The 8,241-nt window shown below is 42.8% G+C and overlaps 1 annotated feature.

Annotated features, from left to right (window-relative positions):
- Positions 6,647–7,846: an enhancer, noted in NCBI's record as "CDK7 strongly-dependent group 2 enhancer chr8:139555607-139556806 (GRCh37/hg19 assembly coordinates)". NCBI's record gives its function as "activates an origin of replication core promoter dependent on BRD2, BRD4, P300/CBP, MED14 and CDK7 cofactors, with strong dependence on CDK7, by STARR-seq in HCT116 cells {active_cell/tissue: HCT116}" and the evidence as "EXISTENCE:reporter gene assay evidence [ECO:0000049][PMID:35650434]".

Here is an 8,241-nt window from a genome sequence, read left to right on the forward strand (position 1 = left end):
GGAAAAGGCAAGAAACAGACATTTCCCGACAGCCTCCAAAAGGAACCCAGACCCTCTGACCCATTTTGAACTTCTGACTTCCAGAACTGTTAGAGAATAAATTTGTGTTAAGCCACTAAGATCATGGTAGCATGCTACAGCAGCAATAGGAGATGAATGCATGGGCTCATGCACTCCAGTTACCATGGCTGAAAGTCATTAAGATCTAAGAGAGATTTTCCATTAGATGATGCCAGGAAAAGGCCCCCCCTGAGCTGAGATCTGATTAAATTGGGAGCAGTTGATGGACCTGGCCAGGGCCACAGTGAGTCATGCCATCAGCATTAACATCTCAGCAAAACCCAAGTTCTAGTTCAGCTCCCCCATCCCCCATGCCCAAGGCAATGTCAGCACTTTGGAATAACAACAATTGCTACCATTGATTCTAGGATGCAGCAGACAGCCACAGAGGTTGTGGCTTGCACAGCTGGGAGGGCACCTTTCCCATGGTCTGTAATAATGAGTGGCAATTGTCGACTTGCATAGCCTTCAACCTATGTGACCTTGCCTGGGAATACTGGCATCAACCTCAACACTGTGCCAGGTAACAGGGGTACAAAGATGGGTAACTAACAGTTCCTGCCCCAAGGAACTCAAAGAGGTGAACCACCTGTTTTGATTCCTGGGGTTTTTGCAGCCCTGTCATTGAAGTGCTACTTCCCATACCCCATTCTCCCTCAGGCTGATCTGGTACTCATGGTATACTCCATGGGAAGGGGGAGGTCTTTCCAAGTCATCCTACTCCATTGATTTGGTAAGCCAGAGAGGAGCTTGTTCAGCAGCTACATCCTGGAGAGAGCTTAAGTAGCTGCATCTCGGCCTTGAAGGGCAGATAAAGAATAGAAACTGGAACATCACACACCGAGGCCTGTTGTGGGGTGGGGGGGAGGGGGGAGGGATAGCATGAGGAGATATACCTAATGCTAAATGACGAGTTAATGGGTGCAGCACACCAACATGGCACATGTATACATATGTAACAAACCTGCACGTAGTGCACATGTACCCTAAAACTTAAGGTATAATAAAAAAATAAAATAAAATTTAGTTGCCAACATTTAAAAAAAAAAAAAAGAATAGAAACTGGAGCCAGAAGAGGCACAGAAGGATGTATGTTAGGGGCCCACTCTTGCTAGAAACTATGCTCAGTGCCACATATACAAGAGCTTCTTAACTACTCCACTAACCTTGTGAAGTAGACATTGCCATACCCATTTAAGAAATGAGGAGAGCAAGACTCATGAATGTAACGTCCAGCCCAGGAGCACTCAGACATGAAGAGTAGAATCTATATCACTGACCCCATGGTTCAAAATCTTGCTACTACCACTACCACCAGCTAAGAAGTGAGTGGCTCAGCCTAAAGACGTCCTCTTCCATCAAATTATATTCTCCTTCATACACAAACACAAACTGAGAGTGGAGAAGGAAGGAAGGAAGAAAGGAAGGAAGGAAGGAAAGAAGGAAGGAAGGAAGGACGGATGGATAGGGAAGGGGAAGGGAACATCCTTTCCATCAAATTATGTTCTCCTCCATACATAAACACAAACTGAGAGTGGAGAAGAAGGAAGGAAGGGAAGGGAAGGGAAGGGAAGGGAAGGGAAGGGAGGAAGGGAAGAAGGGAAGAAAGGAAGGGAAGGGAAAGGAAGAAGGGAAGGAAAGGGAAAAGAAAAAGGAAAGGAAAAAAGTAAAGTCTCACATATTAGATCTGGGGATAATCCTTTTCAAGCTCATCATTACCTTGTCAACATTTGGTAGTATTTAATGAGCACCTATTTTGTATCAGACACTATGCTAGGCCAACACTGCGTGGCATTTATAGGCCATGTGGTAGGATTTTGGAATTTTATTCTTAGTGTGATGGAAAGTGTTTGAAAGGTTTTAAGCAATTGAGTGACATCGTCTGGTTTATGTTTTATAAAGCTCACAGGTATGGAAAGAGTGAGGTCAAGAAGGACAAAGAGATGAACCTTTGATGCAACAGTGAGTTAGAGCCATACCCAGGTCAGAGGGCAAAGGCTTTATAAGGGGAGAACAGGAAAAAAATGAAAAGAAAAAAATGAGATCAATAAATAAACGACAAGCCCAAGAGCAGTAGGAAAATGAAAGGAGTCACTCCTGGGACTGCCAGAGCAGCTCCACGAGAATCTGTACCGTGCCTCTCTCATTTATAGTTACGTCCCTGATGTCTTGAGCTGCTCTCAGCATACAATGTTTTATAAATATTTGTTCAAGAGTGGAAGGAAGGCAGGATATTGTAAGGCACTGAGAGAATGTGGAAATGCAATTGCTAAGCTGAAGTTTAGGAAATCATGAAGAGGGTGCTGGAAGGTCAGAGATGGCCGAAACGTCACTCTAGGTGTTTAAAAGATCTGAAGAAGGTGGACTCTACAAAACATATACAGATGCTCCTCAACTTATAGAAGCATATTTTCAACTTAGGATATTTTCAATTAATGATGAATCTATTGGGTATAACCCCATTGTAAGTTGAGGAACACACTGAATGTGTAACACTTTGCACCATTGTAAAAGGGAAAAATCTTTTGAACCATTATAAGTTGGGGACCTGTGAACCTGGCTTCACCCAAATATTAATTAGGATACAGTTCAGCTCTGAGTGAAGGAAAACCCAAAATGGCAGTGGCTGGTAAAAGGCAAAGTTATTTCTCTCAATTTTATTCAGTCATGAGGGAAACATTTCAGGACTTACAGTCCAGCTTGGATTCACAAAGATTTCAGGGACCCAGGCTCCTGGCAACTCACACTCAACCAAAAGTGCAATGTGATCCACACGGTGCAACATGGTGGCATTTGGATTCTAGGCCACAGAATGGAGGAAGGGAAGGAGAAGAGGCAGCCCTCTCTAAGGAAAATGGCAGGAAGCTGACACTGACTCTCACTCTCATCTCAATCAGAGCTTCATCGCGTGATCCCCTCTACAGAGAAGTCAGCCAACTATAGTGAGTGGGCTGGTCGCCTGTTTCTATGAAGAAAGCTTTCTTGGAGCACAGCCACACCCATTCATTTATGGATTGACTTTGGCCATCTCTGCTACAGCGACAGAGTTGGGTAGTTGTCACAGTAGCTGTGTGGCCCATAGATCCTTAACTATTTGCGTCTGACTCTTTATAGAAAAAGTGTATTAGCCAACCCCATATTCTACGGAAGAAAGGGACAGAAGCCATTGGGGGATGCCCCTAGTTAGTGTTGTAGAAGAAATCACCAAAGAGATGAAGTGTGAGAGCCTAGGAGAGGAAGCTGTGATCCCAGGGAGCTGGAAGGAGTTCACTGAACTTAAAGGGAAAGTGGGTGGGCCTAGTGTCCCAAAGTCCCCACTCAGGACCTCTGCTGGGTAAGAAATCACCCATGAGTGAGAAGTTTCCTTCTATGAGCTGCAATTTTCTCACTTACGAGAAAGCTTAATAACCACATCCCTTACTGCAAGTAATGGAGACTATATGAGCTGGAGAATGAGAAGTTCCTGGTACCAGGACTAGCACATAGCATGTGTTCAATCAACAGACACTGTTATGATTACAAGGAATATGTCATCTATTCTGATCTCCTTCTTCTAGAGGATCCTTAGACAGTGCACTGGGGTGAAAAGTCAACTGCACATTCTGAGTTTTAGTAAGGCCTTGGAGGAAAGCCCTGGCCCAGTGTGTGTGTGTGTGTGTGTGTGTGTGTGTGTGTGTATGAGACACTCACATGCCTGTGCGCATTGACCTACATTCTGGGACAAACAAAACAATAATTAATTGAAAATCATATCGTGAAGTTTTCAATTCATTTGTGTTTAATCATTCAATATTAATGACACTAGCTCCATGCTTGGGATACCAGCAAAGCAGAGGCATTAAAAATAATCTTTGAAAAAACTTTTTTGGAGAGATTTTATGTCTGAATGCTCAAAAGCAGCAGCAGAATAAGAACAAATGAGACTTTTCTCCATTTACTTTTATGGTTTATTACTGCTTTTATTTCAATCCCACATAAAGCGTTATACTATTTTCAGTGCCTACAACCTTCTAAGGTCTTTATCTGGAGTTGTGGTAATGAGGATGTTAAGAGTGCAGAGGTCTATGGTGATGTGTTGTATAACAGATTTGGTTCTTCACAGATGCAAGGAGGCACCCAAACAACAAAGAACCAACATTAAATCAAAAAGCTTCCCATGTAAGGCCTGCAGTTTTATCCCCTCAAGAAGCAAACAAACAATAGCAGCAATTAAAGCCACACCAACAAAAATAGGCCAGAAAAACAGTAGCTCTTAAAATTACATATTAGGGTTAAACTCAGGAAATTCAAACAAGTGAAATCAAAGCTAGGGCTGTCCTACAATGCCTGGAGAGACACTCAGCATCCTCTCAGCCATCCAGTGGTCAATGCTCCCTGGGGCACTGCCTGGTGGAGGCCACATGAAATGAGAAAAAGAGCAGCAGCTTTGTAGCCAGCAGATTTGGGATTGGATCCCAAATCTGACCCTTAGAGACCCCATGAACCTGCACACGTCACATCACATCTCTCAGACCTTTCTCATCTGTAAAATGGGGATGATGCCCGCCTCATAGGGCTGTGGAAATTTACTAGGAAGGTGAGTATAAGGAGGTAGCTCAGCACCTAGCACAAGGTAGGCATGGGAGTGGGCCCTGTTCCAGAATGTGGGAATGTCTTATTCAGTCTAATTCTCAGGTCTAAGGAACTCCAGGATTCCCTAAGGACCCAGATCCCTAAGACTGTGTGATGCTGAGATTCCAGTGATAGACCTCCTTGCTAGGCTCGGTCATGCCAACATATGATCTTGATGTTTACTAAGTTATCTTGCAACAGCGAAAGGCTCTAAAGCCAGGGGTTCCTATGATACTTGGCAGAGCCCTGCTCTAATACTCCTGGAAGGCAGCTGCTCATCAGCCTAAGCAGCAAGAGAGGCTCACAGTGATGGGAGGTGACACTTCACCAAGTCCATCTCCTTGGGTATTTCATATAATTCACACAGTTCTCAGCATGATACACATTCGGCCCTTTAAAATATGGGAAAATGCATTATTTACAGATGAATGATGGATGAATGAATGAATGAATGAATGATGACAAAAGGTTTATGTTCAAATCCTGGTTCTGCACGTGTATTAGTCCGTTTTCATGCTGCTGATAAAGACATACCAGAGACTGGGTAATTTACAAAAGAAAGAGGTTTAACTGGGCTTACAGTTCCACGTGGCTGGGGAAGTTCTCACAGTCATGGCAGAGAGTGAAAGGCACTTCTCATATGGCAGTGGCAAGAGAGAATGAGGAGGAAGCAAAAGCGGAAACCCCTGATAAACCCATCAGACCTCGTGAGACTTATTCACTATAACGAGAATAGCGTGGGAAAGACCAGCCCCCATGATTCAATTACCTCCCCCTGGATCCTCCCACAACACGTGGGAATTCTGGGAGATACAATTCAAGTGGAGATTTGGGTGGGGACGCAGCCAAACCATATCAGCACCCTGCAGTTAGCTTCATGATTTTGACACTGTCACTTTCTTGAGCATCAGTTCTGTTTTCTACTCACATGTTTGTTATCAGAATAAAAATAATCCCTTACAAACAATGCCTGGTACAGAGAGGACACAAGAAAAACTCAAAAATAAAGTAGTTATGGTACTGAAAGAAGGCTAACCCCGCAGGAAATTGTGACTCAAATGAGATAATATGTCGAACTGCTATTGTTCAATGACAAATAAATGCTAGTGATTAGAATTCTAAACGCTAATGGGTTGACTGGTTGAGTCTATAATTTATTTTCTTGGTAAAGGAGGTACAATCTTCAATGAGTCAGAGCATAAGAACACCTAGTTAGCTGAGCATAAAGAAAATATTCACTGTACACGCCATAATAAGAAACATTGCAATGATTTTAATGGGTTCATTATTTGTTCCATTCCAAAAGTAATATATATTCATTTAATGAGATTTGGAAATTACATCAAAGCAGGAAGAAGAAAATAAAATTACTCACTTACCAGCCAGAAACATACTCTGTTAACATTTTAATATGTTTTCCTTTAGCTTTTTATTTTCCTCTTTATAAATTTTGACAAGAAACTCTGTAGAATTTTTTTTACCCAGCAGTGATAATATGGTATATAAGATTTAACATTTACATTTTATTCTCTTTACTTTTTAAGATAAATGTTTTCTCCATCTTTGCCTAGATTTTTTAACATAATTGTAATTGCCTGCAAAATATCTCAAGTGTATATGCCTGTTTTTATTTAATCATTATTAAGTTTTTTCCACATTTTATTGCTTTCAGTAATGATAGAGTGAACTATCTATGCAAATTTGTGCATAGTTTTTCTTTTAAAATTTAGGAAATTCTTTGCATTTGATGAGCGTGTTATTGTTTGCACAGGAGTTCCTTTTATTCCGTCATTTGAAAAACATGCAAGGCACTGCTCCAGGGACTAGGAATACAACAGAGAATTCAGTGGAGATAGGTTCTGGAAAGATGGAACACACCCTCTCATCAGCCATCACATTTACCTAGGGTTGCAGGGACTTGCTGTCATTGCCATTTCAGGCACGCAGAGTTTAGAGATTCAAATGACAGAATGATACTGAAACCTATTGTTTGGATATAAATCCAGTGTGCTTTCTTGCCTTCCTTGCACCCACCACCCCATAACCTCTAAGAGGAAAGCTGATGGCTGGCCTCCACAGGCTTTCTTAGGTACAGAGATCTGTCTGCCCTGGATGGACACTGGACTGTGAGTTCCTTAAGGGCCAAGACAGGGTCTCAATATCTCTACATCCCCAGTGCTCAGCTCCCAAGATGGCACTCAGGAAGTATTTGGTGAAAAACTTCATGATTCTGTCTTCTCTTCTCTTTCCCAGTGTCTACTGTAGTGGGGTGCCTCCACTTATCCCGCTGTCAGCAAACCCCAGTTCCTGCAGCCCCGCTGTGAGCATGTCGCCCACACTCCAAACCCTTCCAAGAACTTGCCGTTAGCACAGAATGGCGCATGGAGGATCGGACGCTCAGTCCCATGTGATGGCCCGAGTGCCTCCCAAACTCAGGCTGTACATCCTCAGTGGGGTCTTCCGTGAATGCCCAGAGGTAAGGGTCGGGGAATAAATCCCAGAGAGACTGCAGGCAAGAGGAGCAAGGCTCGATGATAGCAGCGGGATGCTTTCCATCTGGGCGTGAAATGGGGTTTTCCTCTGTGGTTAATGAGAACAGCCTGTTTCCAATTTGACTAATGCCTTCCATTAGAGCTTTGGCACAGCCCGGCCGAGAGGCACGACTGGGGGCTTTGAAGTCATTTCTTAAAAGCCAGAAACTGCTTTGTCATTCAGGACTTTGCTTTCATCCTGCCCCAGAATTCTAAGGCAAGATCTATTGTGGCAGATCTGAAAAAGCCTACCTTTCCACTTGCTGGCAGGCTGGTAACCTTGGGCAAGATTTATCACCTCTCTGAGCTGCAATACATTCTTCTATAAAATGGGGGTGATAACACCTATGCAGCCTACTTCCCAAGTTCAATAAGAGGATCAGATTTGGAAACCACAGACAGCAATGCCTGCTACAATTTATTAAGCCCTTAGTGTGTACCAGACACTATACAAGGCATTTGACTTTCAATGGCTCATTTGATTCTTATAGCAATTCTGTAAGATGTGGTAAGTGGAATAATACCACTCCCAAAGAAGGCTACATCCTAATCCCTGGAAGCTGTGATATGCTAGATTACATGGCAAAGGGGAATTAAGGTTGTTCATCAGCCAACTTTAAAATAGGGAGATTATCCAGGTGGACCCTACATAGCAGGATTGTTCTTTAAAAAGGAAAAGAGAGTTGGAGAAAGAGACAATAACATGGCAGCAAGGTCAGCATGATAAGATGTGAAAAGGGCTCCACCTGCTGAAGCTGGCTTTGAAGATATTGGAAGGGGCCATGAGCCAAGGAGTGTGGCAGCTTTTAAAAGCTGGAGAATGATTTTTAAAAGTAAAGAAATTGATTTTCCTCTAGAAAGCACACATCCCTTCCCACATCTCAATTTTAGCCCAGCGAGAGACATGCACAACTTCTAACTTTCAGAAAAGTAAGGTAATGAATGTGTGTTTTAAGCCACTACATTTGAGGTAGTTTTGTTGTGGCAGCCATAGAAAATAATACACTCTTATTTTTCCTTTTCTTCTTGTTTAAAGCAG

The sequence above is a fragment of the Homo sapiens genome, chromosome 8, assembly GCF_000001405.40.
Source record: "Homo sapiens chromosome 8, GRCh38.p14 Primary Assembly".
NCBI classification, from domain to species: Eukaryota; Metazoa; Chordata; class Mammalia; order Primates; family Hominidae; genus Homo; species Homo sapiens.